Source organism: Homo sapiens, chromosome 6 (genome assembly GCF_000001405.40).
Source record: "Homo sapiens chromosome 6, GRCh38.p14 Primary Assembly".
NCBI lineage: Eukaryota > Metazoa > Chordata > Mammalia > Primates > Hominidae > Homo > Homo sapiens.
In genome coordinates, this window is record NC_000006.12 from 166196890 (window position 1) to 166214031 (window position 17142).

A 17142-nucleotide genomic window follows, 5' to 3' on the forward strand; every position below is an offset into this window, starting at 1 on the left:
GTAATTTTTATTAGCTACAAAACTAAATAGGATGTTTCCTAATCATGTAAATTAAATGCCATAAACTACTTGAAATAACTCCATGCCACCTGGAAGGAGCCTTACCTTCACTGAAGGTTAAGCACTAAGCTACTTGGATATTATCCTTGGACGGGCCACATACCTTCCACCTTTTGCCTCCTTTTGTGTGTGAGAAATATATATGGATTGGCTGAAAGAAAAAAAGACCTAGACCACCAGCATTTCGATCCAGCCCTGCTGTGTTTCTGTAATTACTTGGATTGGTTTAATCCAAACAAAGAGAATATTCTGAAGATGCTCAATGAAATTCTGATGGAAAGGATGGCTGGCCAAGAGACACCCTCCGATCCCCAGGAGCTGCCACATGCAGGATCCAGGCTCCCGTGGGAAAGCCTCAGGACCAGGGGCGGCATTTGCATTTCCGAGGCCAGAACACACTATTCCTATATGTTGCCATTTCCCCAACTATTCAAGCTGATTAAAGGATGCTAGAAAATTACTTAAGCCCTTAAATTGCAACAACAAAGGCTTGGTTTCTCTTTTCAACCAAAACAGCACGGCTGCCTGATTCAAATGCTAATAGCCGGGGCCTGAATTGGTCACTAAATGAGAGAGACACCTCTCCCTGCAAATGACCACAAAGCCACTCCTTTGCAGTGACAATCTGCAGGATTCTCCCAGTTGGACGTTCTGTTAAATTGCTCCATGGGAAGCATCCTCGCGGTGGGCTGGTTGGTTTCTGGAGAAGATTGCCTTCTATCTGGCCAGGGCTGACTCTGGAGGAGCTAGGAACCACCCATCTCCCTTGTTGCAGAGCCAAGAGGACATTCCAGCAGATCTGGCACAGCTTTCAAATTCTTTGTTGAGGAAAAAGGCCCCAGTTTTAGAGCTGGTTGCTACCATCTCAACTCATCCTAATTTCAAAATGGCTCTAAAGACAGAATGTGGTTTCTCAGCTCCTTACCACCCCATCTCCACACCTCCCTTTGTACCCTACAGTCCCTTCTACCTGGGGGATGGGCACTGCCCGCCACTGACCAGATCCCCACTCTCTGGCTTGCTTCACCTACCCCCAGCTCATGAAAGAGGGCTTGGGGCCAGATGAAGGAAGTTCCAGTCCAAACTCTCCCATGTAGGGAGTGACCTCGGGCCGGGTACTGGGCTCTGTCCACCTGGGTACACTGTGGACCTGTTCAGTATCAGGGGAATAGGGAGGCCAATCTTCACACAGCTGCAGTGAAGGCACACACAGATTATACGGGATTTGGACTCAGCAGGCCAGAGGGCAGATTTTACCTCCTCCACCATCCTGACTCTGACCAGGCTACATCTCATGCTGAGCCTCAACTTTCTTCTCTGTAACATTGCAAAGGTAACAGTACCCATCTTGCGAGGTTTTGCTGAGCGTTAGACGGTATACAAGTATACTATGTATAAGGCAACAGGGACTGTGCCTGGTGTGCCCAAGATTAGTGGATGGAGCTACCATAGGCGTGCAGTTAGGGTAGACAATGGAGAGGTTTTGAAATGTCTCTCCTCAATCTCTATTCCTCTCTTTTGCCATTATTACAGTATGTCTTTCTAATGTTAAGTTTTGGATTTGTCTTATCTACCAATTATGCAATTGTGCTCATTATTGACTCTGCACCTACAGCCCAGCCCAGTGTGGTATTGGAAATGTAGTGTCATTGCTCAGGGAGTGATACAGTCCACGCTCTGTTGGCAGGTGCATTCCTGAGAGTTATTTCTATTCTGTCAATACATGCATATTTGGTAGGGGCAATGCTAATTTTCAGTTGACATGAGTAATATAATTTGTCAGTTTCTAGTCCTGAGGGAATTGTTCTTGATCCTCAAAGATGATGTCCACTTTTCTCTCACCTCTACCTTCTGCTTCCTAAATTCCTTGACAGTCTCAAAGGCCAGGGGTTACTGTTGTTTACTTTTTACATTTACATTATGCCTGGTTCTTTCCTATTGATTAGACATATGTCCTTCCTTTACTGGCAAATAGTTTTAATACCATTTTATAGAATAGCAATTCCTTAATATATCTAATATGAAAGACTGTGAATATGGCTGTGCAAAGTTGTATTTAAAATAGATTAAGAGCCAGGCACGGTGGCTCACGCCTGTAATCCCAGCACTTTGGGAGGCCGAGGAAGGCAGATCACCTGAGGTCAGGAGTTCAAGACCAGCCTGGTCAACATGGTGAAACCCTGTCTCTACTAAAAATACAAATATTAACCAGGCATGGTGGCAAGCACCTGTAATCCCAGCTACTCAGGAGGCTGAGGCAGGAGGATCACTTGAACCTGGGAGATGGAGGTTACAGTGACCTGAGATCACGCCATTGCACTCCAGCTTGGGCAACAAGAGTGAAACTCCGTCTCAAAAAAAATAATAACAATATAAAAAAATAGATTAAGACAAGTTTTAGAGCCAGGCATGGTGGCACATGCCTGTAATCCCAGCACTTTGGGAGGCCGAGGCGGGTGGATCACGAGGTCAAGAGATCGAGACCATCCTGGCCAACATGGTGAAACCCCGTCTCTACTAAAAATACAAAAATTAGCTGGGCATTGTAGCATGAGCCTGTAGTCCCAGCTACTCAGGAGGCTAAGGCAAGAGAATCGCTTCAACCCGGGAGGCGGAGGTTGCAGTGAGCCGAGGTCGCACCACTGCACTCCAGCCTGGCAACAGAGCGAGACTCCATCTCAAAAAAAAAAATAAAAAAAAAAGATATGTTTTAGAAAGGAACTTACCTTCTGAAGAATTCCATATTACAAGGAGATAGAACACATCTGATACAAGCATCAAAGATTGATTTTGCTTTGGGAATCTTTCTCATCTGATTTATAAATAATCCTGTTCTGAAAGAAATATTTAATTTAAAAAAATGTTTTACGTTCCTATCTTAACCTCCGCTTTTTAAAAAATGTTTTACATTCACATCTTAACCTCTGCAGCTAGAATTTAAGATTGTCAAAGATGAGAATTTAAACCTCTTTATATTGCCAACGTGCAAATCAATGTATTGCAATTGTACAGTAGGTACATACTGTAAAATTTTCCATGATGATGACATTTAGCACATATTCTCCCCAGCTGACACTTATGATGCTTTGACTTGACCTCCACCTTGACTTTCCAGTGTCAATTGGTCAAGAAGGTAAAGCTCCTGCCGCTGGAGATCAAGATGTCGGATAGAGCGCTAGATACCTAAGCTAAGACTGGTAAAAAAAGAGATGGATGTTGTCTTAGCATAACACAGTGAAAGATGGTATTATGTACAGTATTTAAAATAATATTTTAAGGATTCAAAAATAGTGCCATAAATTATGTCATTCTAAATTTTAAAAATGAGGAGAAAATAATTTTAAAATACATAAAGGTAGCTTAAAAGCTAAAATAAAACCCAATTGCATTCTGAGTAATAGAATGTTAGGTTAGAGAAAATTTCAAACAGATGAAAGTTAGCCAAGAAACAACTAGGAACATAAAACTAAGGGAAAATGAAAGGGCAAGCCGGAGTGGCTGCTCACACCTGTGATCCCAGCACTTTGGGAGCCTGAGGCAGGAGGATTGCTTGAGCCCAGGAGTTCAAGACAAGCCTGGGCAACATGGCAAAACCCCATCTCCAAGAAAAATACAAAAAATTAGCTAGGCATTTGTGGCACACACCTGTAGTCCCAGCTATCGGGAGGCTGAGGTGGGAGGATCACTTGAGCCTGGGAGGCAAAGGTTGCAGTGAGCCAAGATCACGCTATTGCACTCTGGCCTCGGTGACAGAGTGAGACCCTGTCTCAATAAAAAAGGAAAAAAAATGAAAGGGCTAAGAGAATGATTGTGTAGCAGAAAGTTCTGAGACCACCCCAAGGTCTGTGATGAGGAAACCATTATAGATCAATCCAAATGCGTTCTCATTCGGTGCTCCAAAGGATCAGTGCTATGATCAGGAACCATCATTTCATTTAAGCCAGATGTAATTTCACTTAAACGAGATGTAACTGGGCCAGCAATAGTCGTGGGCAGTTTACTTAAGTCAGGATTTCCCAGACTTATCTAATCATCAGAATCAAAGGAATGACATGAGAAGTGTGATAAAAATACAGGTTCTGCATCCCAACCAGACCCCCTAAATCAAAATCTTAGGGGAAAGCCCTGGGCGCTGTGTGTTTTTATCAAGTACGCAGGTGATTGCTATGGTGTAGCCCATTTGAGGGACACGCTATAGTCGAGTATGGGTTGGGAAGAGCAACTGGAAATAAACAGAGACTGGGATATCTTACAGACAGCCCCAAAACATGCACTCAGTTTGCCATTGGATTCTTTGCTTGATGAATAGGATTTAAAGCTAGACTGTATTAGTTATATGACAGGATTTGTTTCATCAATGAAATGCCTCTGTGTGCGTGTGTGTGTGTGTTTCCAGTTAATCCAGTTAGAGTGGTGGTTGTAACCTGGTCCCTAGATTTCTAAATACTTATGTTTATAGAATTTTATGGTCAAAATGAGTCCCTACCAAGAGCATCTTGTCAAACTCCCTCCTTGTCCACTGAAGAGCTGTGTGCTGTTTAAGTTGGTATATCCCTGTGTTTATGAGTACACATTTAACGGCGGCAGAATTCTGCAGCCTCCATGGGTCACCTAGAGCCTGATGAATAAAGTAAGCAAAGTCCAGTTGTAGTTTTCATAATCCAGGACAGTAAGTCCCTGGAGGAAGATCTGTCCATTAAATTCCATGAGTTTCAGGAATTTGCACGGACCCTAAGACGCTCCAGTATCAATAAGGTGACACACTGATCCCTGACATGCTCTTGGAAGATGAAGCCAGGCACAGCTGGCTTTGTGACTTGTTTTTCAGGTTAGTAAAGGTCACTCCCGGCCTTTACTAACATTCACCCAGTGCCTCGGCCAGGATCCACTACTATTTTCACGATGAAGAAAGCTGGATCTGCTTCCTTTATTTTCTTCTCCACTATCGATTCTTCTGAGTTTCACTCTGAAATTCCAACACCTTGGGCCTTCTCTCAGGCTCACAGCGACTCCATCAATCAGGGTGTCTAAAGACCCTGTGGGTGGAGGAAGGAAGGAAGGAGGCACAGAGACCCTGCAGAAATGATTCAGGAGCCCCAGGCAGCTCACCCTCCCTGTCCTTTGGGTAGTTTTTCTGCAGTTTCTCACTGTTGACACTTTTTTTCCTCTATGAGTCAAGAAAGAAGGCCCTAAGAGGGAAATGAGACAGATCTTCTTACAAATATTCTTCATTACCACACTTTATTCATTCTATCAGCCAAGTGTGTTCCTCCAATTTTTCACTACAATTTTAAAAGCAGAAAATGTACCCTATTGTTTTGCACTGTTGGGGCCCATCCAGAGAGAAGGTGCAAGGTACCTACTGGACTTCAAGGCTAAGATTGCGAGTGCAGCCGGAGTGGCTCGGAAACCAAATGTCAGTGGGAGCTCCCAGTCCCAGCTGTGAGGCGTGGCTCCCAGTCCCAGCTGTGAGGCGTGGCCCCATTGCTTCCCTAGCGGGCTTCTGCTCAGATGGCTCCAGAGGCTGCTCATCTGTATCATGACAGCATTTCATCGTAACAGACGCCAGCTACTGCATTAGCTCCTTTATTTTCTGGTTAAGTTTATACAAATGTATCAGATATACTGCAATATTAATAGTTCTCTCCTCATTTGTTTCTGTTATTCTTGGGGCTGGTTTCACAAGTTTTGGGGGTTTCAGTTCTTTTTTTTTTTTTTTTTTTGATACAGAGTCTTGCTCTGTCGCCCAGGCTGGAGTGCAATGGCACAATCTCTGCTCACTGCAACCTTTGCCTCCCAGGTTCAAGCGATTCTCCTGCCTCAGCCTCACGCGTAGCTGGGATTACAGGTGTGTGCCAGCATGCCTGGCTAATTTTTTTGTATTTTTAGTAAAGATGGGGTTTCATCATGTTGGCCAGGCTGGTCTTGAACTCCTGACCTCAAGTGATCCACCCACCTCAGCCTTCCAAAGTGCCTGGGATTACAGGCGAGTCACCATGCCTGGCCTGGGGATTTCAGTTCTTAATCTCCTTTCAGATTTGCCCATACTCTTTTCCTTCAGTCATCTCTGAGAGAAAACCCAGAGGTCCTTCATGGCTGGCTCAACTCACCGTCACTCAGGACAGCAGGGTCTTGCGGTCTGTTGCACTGTGGAGATGCAGGGGCGCCTGTATGGGCGAGTGGAGTTGTTCTGGGTGGAAATCCCAGGCCGGCTCTTTTCCTGTGACTGTGATGAGTGACTCAGCTCAGAGCCTCCTGAGCCTCATCAGTACAGTAAGGACCACAACACTGAATCCATTGTAAGGGTGAAGACACAGTCTGCAGAAAACTTGGCACATAGTGGGAATTTCAAACGCTTTAGCTGGTTAAAGAGAATTGACCATTTCTGCCTTTCAATTTCTCAGGAGTCCCTTTTCAGGGAGGTCGGCTGTCTAATTTGGCCCCTTCTACCTCTATGCATCCTCCTATAGCCATGCCCTCGGTGCAAGTGAGGCCAGCCTGACTTCTGTTCTCTGTAAGCGGCAGGCTTACTCCCACCTGAGGTTTTGCACAGGGTCTCCCTGGCCTGGGCCACTCTTCCATCTGATGTTACCACAGTTGGTTACTCTGACCTGTCTTTAATGCCCCTTTCACAAATCTAAACCATCCAGGGACAACAGATAAGGAAAATGGAGTGGAAGCCTCACCACAGATGATGGTGCAGTGCTGAGAAGCATCGGATTCGAGACAGACATAGAGACCTGGAGGCACTGAATGGAAAAAAGGAACAGAGGAGACAAGAACATGCAGACAGAACAACATGGGCTTTGCACAGGTACACGACAAACACAAAATGCACAGCGGACATGCGGCTGCTGCGGGGCAGGGCTGGTATGGGAACAAGACAGGGTGTGTGTGCGTCAAACAAGGCAGAAAAAAATGCAGCCTCGGGTCGCTAGGCATCGCTTCATCCTGTTAAATTCCCCAAAATAGCATGTATCGCTGTCAAACATGAGCATCAGGACTTTTATCCAAACAGGAAAATTTTCTGTTCTTTTAGTCCCAAGTATATGGAGCACACTTATTAATTAGGACATTATGACGGGCTCTGTGTAAAAATGGGAAGTGAATCTCTCAATATGTGTTTAGTGAAATTAAAGGTACATTGAATCTACTAAAGAAAAAAAACACTTAAGCCTGGGAAATTATCTTTGTGTTTTTTCCTAAGTGATTATTATTAGACACCAGAATAGCACCAAACCGAAAAAAATCTCACGACTGAAATATCTCAGAAACGACATTTCAATATATAAAGGAGACATCAATTTTAAGTTACAAGTAAGGAGAAATTTGGAAACAGAACATACAATTTAACTAAGATTAAGTCTTTCAAAATAATAAGCAGCACTCTAAAACTGAAATCAAGAACGATTTTCATGACTATTTGAATTTTTTTAAATTAATGTTGGTGTTTTTTTTGAGACAGGGTGTCACTGTGTTGCCCATACTGCAGTGAACTGGCAGTGTCATAGCTCACTGCAGCCTCAAGCTCCTGGGCTCAAGTCATCCTTCCACCTCAGTCTCCCAAGTAGCTGGGACTACAGGTATGCACCATGACATCTGGCTAATTTTTTAGTTTTTGTGGAGACGGAATCTCGATATGTGGCCCAGCCTGGCCTCAAGTAATCCTCCTGCCTCAGCCTCGCAAAGTGCTGGGATTACAGGCATGAGCCACGACACCTGGCCTAAATATTTCTCAAAAATAAACCAAGAATGATTTTCAAGGCCTAAGAAAAAGACATGGCACTGATGAGATTTTGAAGACTTTTATTAAAAGTAATAAGCATAGTTCATTCACCCAAAACTGACAGTGGAAAATCTGAATGTTTCAAGTAAGTAGAGGAAATTCCCCCAAATGAAGAGGGGATGACAGAGTCCTGAAGTTAGCTACTGGACACCTTCAGCGGCAGACACTGGAAGATTAGTTACAAGAGGGCTCGACAGGCCTGCAGGTAAAACAAACAAAGCAAAACAAACTGAAACAAGAAAGCACAGCCAGGCTCTCTCTCCCCAGCTCAGCAGGAGCTCCAGCCCCAGCTGCCATCATTCCTAGCACTCCGGTAGCAGCGTTACTATTACTAACACTTACGGTATCTTCAAAATCATCCTCCTGGCAACCAATGTGAAGTCACCACCAGGCCCAGAAAGTGGCTGTGACTCTCCCCTGGTGGCCAACACTGCTAGCTGCTGACCTAACTTCCGTTACCCATCCTCTTCCTCACTACCAGGCCCGTAGGTACTGCTGTGGGGTATAAGGTGCGCAGCTGAAGAAAATGCATTTTTCCAGCCCCCTTGTGAGATGGGGTGGCCATATGACCACGCTCTGGTCAGCAGAATGTCAGTGAAGTTTTTGGGTGGAGATTCCAGAAGCTTCCTGAGAAGAGGGCTGGCGGGATGGGCAGGGATCCCCTCTGTCTCAGGCCCTCTGCCGCAGAGGTAGTATGAGGTCAGGAGCAGGAAGCCCCCACCAGCAACAGGCAAGAGCGAGCAGCACCATGGGGTCCCCAAGCCAGCCAGGGACTCTCAGCGACAGGAGAGAAAGGCAAGCCTCTGCGTTCTCGCAAGAGGCTCTTTTCTGGAGGCGGTTTCAGTTTTGCGGTGCTGAATCCAGTTCTGTAAGGGAAGAAAAAGTTATTTCCTCACCCATTGCTAGGTTTATGGCTGAGACACCTATCATAAAAGACAGATAAACAAGAGAAAAGCAGGCGAATTTATTTCATTGTATGTAATTTTTACATGACACAGGCACCTTTAGATATGAAGACCAAAAGGCACAGGGAGGCCTGTGTATCTTTAGGCTAAGCTTGATGGAGAGCGGACAGTGGTGGAAAAGGGTGAGTACACAGAGCGGGTGTCACCTGATGGCAGTGAACTGCGGGAATATGCAAGGTGCCAGATTTCAGGGTCTTGTGTCCCAAACCCCATTAGTGTCTAACTCAGTGTGGATATAACTGCTGGGACGCTAGCAGCGGTCTCTTTGGAAATTGCCAGAGCGCGCCACCGCGGCTGCTGGGTCACTGGGCTTCTGTGTTATGATGGATGCTGTATTCGTCATCCATCATTTGTGGTGTGTTGTAAAGCATCACAAACTGGGTGCCTTTAAACAACAGAAATTTGTTCCCTTACAGTTCTGGATCCCAGAAGCCTGACATCACGGTATCGGCAGGGCCGTGCTCCCTCCTGGGAAGCTTCCCTCCCCTCTTCCCTCTTCTGGCATTGCTGGTGCGTCAGCCCGGTCTCCACCTCCGTCTTCACACAGCCATGACCCCGTGTGTCTCTCCTCCTCTTCAGATGTTCTTCAGTAAGGACATCAGTCATGTTGGATTAGGACCCACCCTGATGACCTCATCCTAGCTCACATCTCGATGTCATCTGCAAAAATCCTATTTCCAAAGAAGGCCACTTCACAGGCCCCAGGACTTAAGATTTTAATGTATCTTTTGCAACAAACACCTTAGCGAAATTTCTTGCAACACACACCTTGGTTTAATGTTCTTGAACTAATCCACTGGCCTCTGGGACTCAGGCATAGCTCTTTGGGCCTCTCAAACTGGCCTGATGTCCTGGGACCAAATTTGCACTGTGCCTAACCTTGGGCTGAGGATTTTTGCCAGAAAGCTCTGGTCTCTCATACCCCAGGCAGGCCCATCCTTCCAGTCCTCCAGGCAAAGCGAATCTGAACTGTGTTAGTTCTAGGCTGTGCCAAGTCCAGGCTCCCTGAGGTTTCTACACTGCCTTTATATTTATAGATCTTAAAAAAAAAAAAAAAAAAAAAAAGGTACTGTTTCTGGTATGGTTTGGCTGTGTTCCCACCCATATCTCATCTTGAATTGTAGCTCCCATCACTCCCACTTGTTGTGGGAGGGACTTGGTAGGAGATAATTGAATCACAGGGGCAGTTCCCCCATACCGTTCTCATGGCAGTGAGTAAGTCTCACGAGATCTGATGGTTTTCTACGAGGAAAACCCTTTTGCTTGGTCCTCACTCTCTCTTGTCTGCGGCTATGTAAGGCATGCCTTTTGCCTTCCACTATGATTGTGAGGCCTCCCCAGCCATGTGGAACTGTGAGTCCATTAAACCTCTTTTTCTTTATAAATTACCCAGTCTCAGGTATGTCTTCACCAACAGGGTGAAAACAGACTAATACAGTTTCTCCCCGGCTTCCCTGAAGACCCACCAGTGTCAGAGGAAGGCGACTTCACAGCCCAGCACATCTGGGACTCAGCTCACTTCAAGGGTAAAAATCTCTTTGAAGTCACATGTTTTACTCAAAAAATCTCGTTAACTTTCCTTTTACTGCTTAAAGTACTTGTGTTTGCTTTCTCGTTGTAAGAATGGTTTTTTGCGCGTATCTTCAGGTGCAGTCAATGCCCAGGAATTGTGCACTACCTGCTCTTGAAGGGCCCTTTTCTCCTCAGTTCCTGGGGGTGCTTCCCCTGCTTGAGAAGCACAGGTCTTTCCTGTTAGGGGTTAGGGTTAGGGTTAAGCCCTCATGTCCCATCCTGGATTTGATCTCTACCACCCTGTGGAATGACAAGAAATCTATTTCATTTAAAAAAAAAAAAAAAAAGTTAAACAGCTTTCAAAAGTAAAAAAAAAAAAAAATTATTTTTTTTTAATTTCTGAAACAATTTTTAAATTAAAAAATTTTATTTTAAATAAATTGGGTTTTTGTCCCCCATTCCTGGCACGCAGCCCCTAAACGCCTTTCCTGAGTGTCAGGGCTGTCTTTGGTGTTGGCCAGGAGCCCCTTCCCATCACACCTGAGTGCCTGCTAACAAAGTAAGCGAGGCTGGGTCCTGGGACAGCCTCAGGATGGGGTGGGCATGAGAAAGACCATGCCAGTAGAGGGTGGGAACTTTCAGCCTCACCCACCTGCCTCTGGGAAAGGGAGTGGGGGTGCTGGTAATCAACCTCTATAAAATCTCTTAATAACTGTATTTGATGAGCTTCCAGGTTAGTAAACGTATCCAGGTGCCAGGAGGGTGGCACCCCCCAGCTGCTGCACTCAGGACCCTTCAGACCTCACCCTGCATATTCCCCACCTGACCGTTCATCTGCGTCCTTTATAACAGGGGCCCCAACGCCCTGGCCACAGACCTGCCTACGTGTGTGTCTATGTGTGTGTGTGTGTGTGTTTGTGTGTGTATGTGTAGACAGGGTCTTGTTATCTTGCCCAGGCTGGCCTCAAACCAGGGCCTCAAGTGATCCTCCTGCCTCAGCCTCCCAAAGTGCTAGGATTATAGGCATGAGCCACAGTGCATGGCCTCTGTTTCTTTTTTATGTTTTCATTTTCCCAACCCATTTTGAATGTTTCACTGCTCTGAAATGGTCTGTCAAATTAGTTACCTGAGTTCTCAAATACGTGTCCTTGTTTTCAAGGGTTTACATAAGTAACCACCCACTTTAATCAGAACACTATCCAATTGACTGTCTGAGTACAGGAATCTAGTTGGTTTTCTTCCAGTCTTCAACTGCAGAAAATTTCTTTGCTTCCAGATTTTGTTTCAAACTATTTCTAACTCCAAGTAAACTCGTCCATTTGCTTAGGGTTAGCCCACATTCCCCGCATCCCCCATCTCAGACAACACCATTGGGTCTCCCAAGATATCCCAAGGAAATCAATAACAATTGATTATTATTAATTCTCTGACGCTCTTATCCATGCTTGGAAACACGCACTGACTACTGAATACAGTTGAGGTTCACATCGTAATTTTGTTTTCTAGTAAATCTGTCTTTACTAATAATAGTATTTACAGAAGAAAAAGTAGAACTCATTCTATTTTTATCTTGGAATGCATGATACCTCCAGGTAAAGTGGGGTTTTTTGTTTTTTAATGTGTAAGTTTCAAACTGTTAATTTAGAAAACATTTCAAACTTACACATGAGTTGCAGTCATAATAAAATGACTCCTTCAGCTAGATGTATCAATCGTAAACATTTTGTCACATTGTCTCATAAAACATGTTTCACGTCTCTCTTTCTCTCTTTGCATATATGTGTAGATACTTGCATATGCACTTAATTATGTTCAGATTTCATCATTTGAGGGTGATTTACAGATATAATGATCCTTAGCCCCTAAATAACTTCCTCATATATCTCCCAATAAAAAGGTTATTCCCTTACATAACTTCAGTAAAATGACGAAATTCGGGAAGTTGAAGGTTGCCATAATACTATTATCTAATTTACAGACTAATTCAAATGTCACCAACTGCCCCAATACACTGGTAAACGTATAATGCTTTAGGGGTATGTTGAGGTCCTGTCAACTGAGATGAAGAGATGTTAACTTGCTTTTGAAAATGAGTCTATATCATTAAAAATTTCTAAATTCCAAGTTCTATGGTGAGAAAGAGACTCAGTCAATAGCAGTTATTTAAGTATTCAAAAACCTATTGGCACGATGACTTTGGCAACATTTAGACTAAAATTGAAACCATGCAGAGAAAATTAACATGGCCCCTGCACAAGGATGACACAGAAATTCATGAATTGTTTAATTTTTTTTCTGAATAGAAAAAAGCAATCTGGACTGAATTGCATTCCTCTAAAATTCACGTGTTGAAAGTCCAATCCCCGATGTGACTGTATTTCTTGATAGGGCCCGTAAACGGGTTGTTAGGTAAAATGGGGTCATGAGGGTGAAGCCCTAATCCAGGAGGACTGTTGTTTATATAAGAAAAGGAAGAGATACCAGCGACACACTTGCATAGAGAAAAGGCCATGTGAGGACACAGCAAGAAGGCAGCCGTCTGCACCCTGAGAAGAGAGGCTCATGAGAAACACTCCTGTTGGCACCTTGATCTTGGACTTCCAGCCCGCAGAACTGTGTGAAAATCCATTTCTGTTGTTTAAGCTGCCTGCCTGTGGTATGCTGTTACGGCAGTCTTAGCAGGCTGGCACACTGGGTGAAAATAGAGGTAAAGGCAATAGACTCACCTTCTCGAAAGTTTCTTAAATCATATTTGATGGCTGAAGCAAACCTAACACCATATGATGTAGTGCTCAATGTAAAATACTTAGGAACATTTTATTTAAAAAGTAGGAAGTGTCAAGGGGCCTAAATGGAAGTAAACATTCAATACTTCACTCAAAGTGGTACCATTTTTATATGAGGAGGCTATGATAAGTTACATCTATACATATGTATATGTGTGTGTGTGCATATATATATATATAGAGAGAGAGAGAGAGTACAATCACCAGGAGGACAATACAAGGTTATATGATTTTTAAATACATGAATAAAGTAGAAGGGAATTCTAGAAAATGCTGAGGTAATCTACAGGAAGGAAAAGAAAAGGAAATGAGAAACAGAAAACAAGTAATACAGTGACAGACTTAAACCCTAAATATCAATTCTAATCTAAATCCATCAGTTCAATGACAGAGGTTGGCAAAAATAGATATAAATACACTACCCAACTACATGCCATCTACACATGTTGGTGGCTCATGCCTGTAATCCCAGCACTTTGGGAACCGAGGCAAGCAGATCACTTGAGGTCAGGAGTTCGAGACCAGCCTGGCCAACATGGTGAAACCCTGCCTCTACCAAAAATACAAAAATTACCCAAGCATGGTGGTGTGCGCCTGTAGTCCCACCTACTCGGGAGGCTGAGGCAGGAGAATCGCATGAGGCAGAGGTTGCAGCGAGCCGAGATCATGCCACTGCACTCCAGCCTGGGTGACAGAGTGAGACTCTGTCTCAGAAAAAAAAAAAAAAAAAAGGAATAAGTGAAAGGAAAAATAGACAAACTCACAATTATAGTTGGACACTTCATCACTTCTCTTTCAGCAACTGATAGGACTATTACACAGAAAATTGGCAAGGATAAAGAACTGAACAATACCGTCAGTCAGCATGATTTCTAGAGCATTCCACCCCAAGATAGCAGAATACACATTCTTTTCAAACATCCATGAATGTTCCAAGATAGACCATATCCTAGATGATTTTTAAAAATCAATAAATTTGAAAGAATTAAAATTATACAAAGTATGTTTTCTGGTCATAAGAGAATCATACTAGAAATCAATACAGAAAGACAAAGGAAAATCTTTAAATATGTGAAAAGTAACCAACACACTCCTAAATAATTAAACATCAAAAAGTAAATCTCAGAAGAAATCTGAAAATATATTGAACTGAATAATAATGAAAACAAAATGTGTCAAAATTTGTGAGATGCAGCTAAAGCAGTGTTAAAAGGAAAATTTATGACATATATAAATGTCATATATATGCATATATATATGAAAAGAGGAAAAGTCTGAAATCATTTCTCTAAGTTTCTACCTCACAAAACTAGAAAAAGAAGAGCAAACTAAACACAAAGCAAGCAGAAGGAAAGAAATAATGAAGATAGAATAACTCAATAAAATCGAAAACAGGAAAGGAATAGAAAAAAATCAGTGAAACAAAAAGCAGTTCTTTAAAAAATCTGAAAAAATCTGTAAGTCTCTAGCAAGACTTACAAAAATAAAAAAAACATAAATCACCAAGGTCAGACAAAAAATCACTAATAAAACAGGAATATCAGTACAGATCAATCCTTCAATCATTAAAACAACATTAAAGAATAATATTAACAAAAGATAGACCTCATAAATGAATTCAGTAAAGCTGCAGAATACAAAATAACAAAAATCAATTGTGCTTCTATAACAAAGAATGAACTATCTGAAAAAGAAATTAGGAAAGCAATTCCATTCACAACAGCAACAAAAAGAATAAAATAGGAATACACTTAACCAAAGACATGAAAAACTTGACACTGAAAATTATAAAACAATGATGAAGAAAATTAAAGAAGACACAGATAAATGGAAAGACATCCTGTGTTCATGGATTGAAAATTGAAAAAATTGTCAAAATGTTCATACTACCCAAAGAGATCTAAGATTCAATGCAATCCCTATTAAAACTCCAATGGCATTTTTTTATAGCTATAGAGGAACAAACCTAAAATGTGTAAGGAACCACAAAACACTCTAAGGAGGTAAATCTATCTTGAGCAAGTAAGATAAAACTGGAGGCATTATACTACCTGACTTCAAAATATATAACACAGCTATAGTAATCAAAACAGCATGGCACTGACATAAAAACAGTCACTTAGACCAATGGGACAGAATAGAGAGCCCAGAAACAAATCTATGCATCTGTGGGTCAATTGATATTTAACAAGAGTGCCAAAAACACACAATGGGGAAATAATAGTCTCTTCAATAAATACTGTTGGGAAAACTGGATATCCATATGCAGAAGAATGAAAGTGGACTTTTTCTCATACCATATGCAAAAATCAACTGAAAATAGATTAAAGACTTAAACATAAGTCCTGAAATCATAAAACTACTAAAAGAAAACATAATGGAAAAGTTTCTTGACATTGGTCTGAGCAATTGTTTTGTGGATATGACACAAAAAGCACAGGCAATAAAAGCAAAAATAAGCCAGTGGGATTGTGTAAAATGAAAAGCTTCTGCACAGCAAAGGAAACAATCCACAGAACAAAAAAACAACCTACAGAGTGGGAGAAAATATTTGCAAACCATATATCTAATAAGGGGCTAATATTCAAAATATACAAGAAACTCAAACAACCCAAAAGCAAACAAATGAACAAGCAAAACAAATAACCCAATTAAGCAATGGGGTAAGGCACCGAATAGATATTTCTCAAAAGACACGACATACAAATGGCCAACAGGTATATGAAAGTGTGCTCAACGTCACTAATTTTCAGGGAAATGCACATCAAAATCACAAAAAGATATCACCTTACCCCTCACAAAAGATAATGTGTTGGTGAGAATGTGGAAAAAAGGGAACCATTATGCATAGTTTGTAATGTAAATTGGTATAGCCACTATAAAAAACAGTGTGAAGTTCCTTAAAAAATTATAAATAAGGCCAGGCATGGTGGCTCACACCTGTAATCCCAGCACTTTGGGAGGCCGAGATGGGCAGATCACCTGAAGTCAGGAGCTTGAGACCAGCCTGGCCAACATGGTGAAACACTGTCTCTATTAAAAACACAAAAAAATTTTCCAGGCATGGTGGTGGGCACCTGTAATCCCAGCTACTTGGGAGGCTGAGGCAGGAGAATCACTTGAACCCTGGTGGTGGAGGTTGCAGTGAGCTGAGATTGTGCCACTGCACTCCAGCCTGGGTGATTAGAGTGAAACTCCATCTCAAAAAAAAAAAAAATTATAAATAAGAACTAGCATATGATCCAGCAATTACATTACTAGGTACTTATCCAAAGGAAATGAAATCAGTGTCTCAAAGAGATATTGCACCCCCATGTTTATCGCAGCATTATTCTCAATAGCCAAAATATGGAAACAATCTTATCTCTTATCATTTGTCCACTGATAAATGAATAGATAAAGAAAACATGGGTATATTAATATACCGTGGGATATTATTCAGCTTTAAAAAGGAAGGAAATCTTGCCATTTGTGACAACATGCATGAACCTGGAGGGCATTATGCTAAGTAAAATAAGTCAGACACAGAAAAACAAATGCTGCATCATCTCACATGTGCAATCTGAAAAACTGGAACTCATGAAAACACAGAATAAGATGGTGGCTGACAAGGGCTGGAGGGGAAGGATGGGGAAATGTTGGTCAAAGGGTACAAAGGTTCAGTTATGCAGGATGAATATATTCTGAAGATCCAACGTACACCATGGTAACTACAGTTAACAATACTGTATTGAATACTTGAAATTTACTAAAAGAGTTTATCTTGGCCAGGTGCAGTGGCTCATGCCTATAATCCCAGTACTTTGGGAGGTTGAGGCAGGCGGATCACCCGAAGTCAGGAGTTTAAGACCAGCCTGGAAAACATGGTGAAACCCTGTCTCTACTAAAAATACAAAAAATTAGCTGGGTGTGGTGGTGGGTGCCTGTAATCCCAGCTACTGAGGAGGCTGAGGCAGGAGAATTGCTTGAACCCAGGAGGCGGAGGTTGCAGTGAGCCGAGATGGCACCATTGCACTCCAGCCTGGGCAACAAC

At 42.5% G+C, this 17142-nt stretch overlaps 1 pseudogene, besides 2 other annotated features; it reads left to right on the forward strand.

The window, feature by feature from the left end:
* Positions 319 to 866: an enhancer, noted in NCBI's record as "NANOG hESC enhancer chr6:166610696-166611243 (GRCh37/hg19 assembly coordinates)". NCBI's record gives its function as "activates a minimal SCP1, AML or CMV promoter by ChIP-STARR-seq in naive H9 embryonic stem cells {active_cell/tissue: H9 hESC(naive)}" and the evidence as "EXISTENCE:reporter gene assay evidence [ECO:0000049][PMID:30033119]".
* Positions 8504 to 9703: an enhancer, noted in NCBI's record as "CDK7 strongly-dependent group 2 enhancer chr6:166618881-166620080 (GRCh37/hg19 assembly coordinates)". NCBI's record gives its function as "activates an origin of replication core promoter dependent on BRD2, BRD4, P300/CBP, MED14 and CDK7 cofactors, with strong dependence on CDK7, by STARR-seq in HCT116 cells {active_cell/tissue: HCT116}" and the evidence as "EXISTENCE:reporter gene assay evidence [ECO:0000049][PMID:35650434]".
* RNU6-153P (RNA, U6 small nuclear 153, pseudogene) lies at positions 12514 to 12617 on the forward strand (annotated as a pseudogene).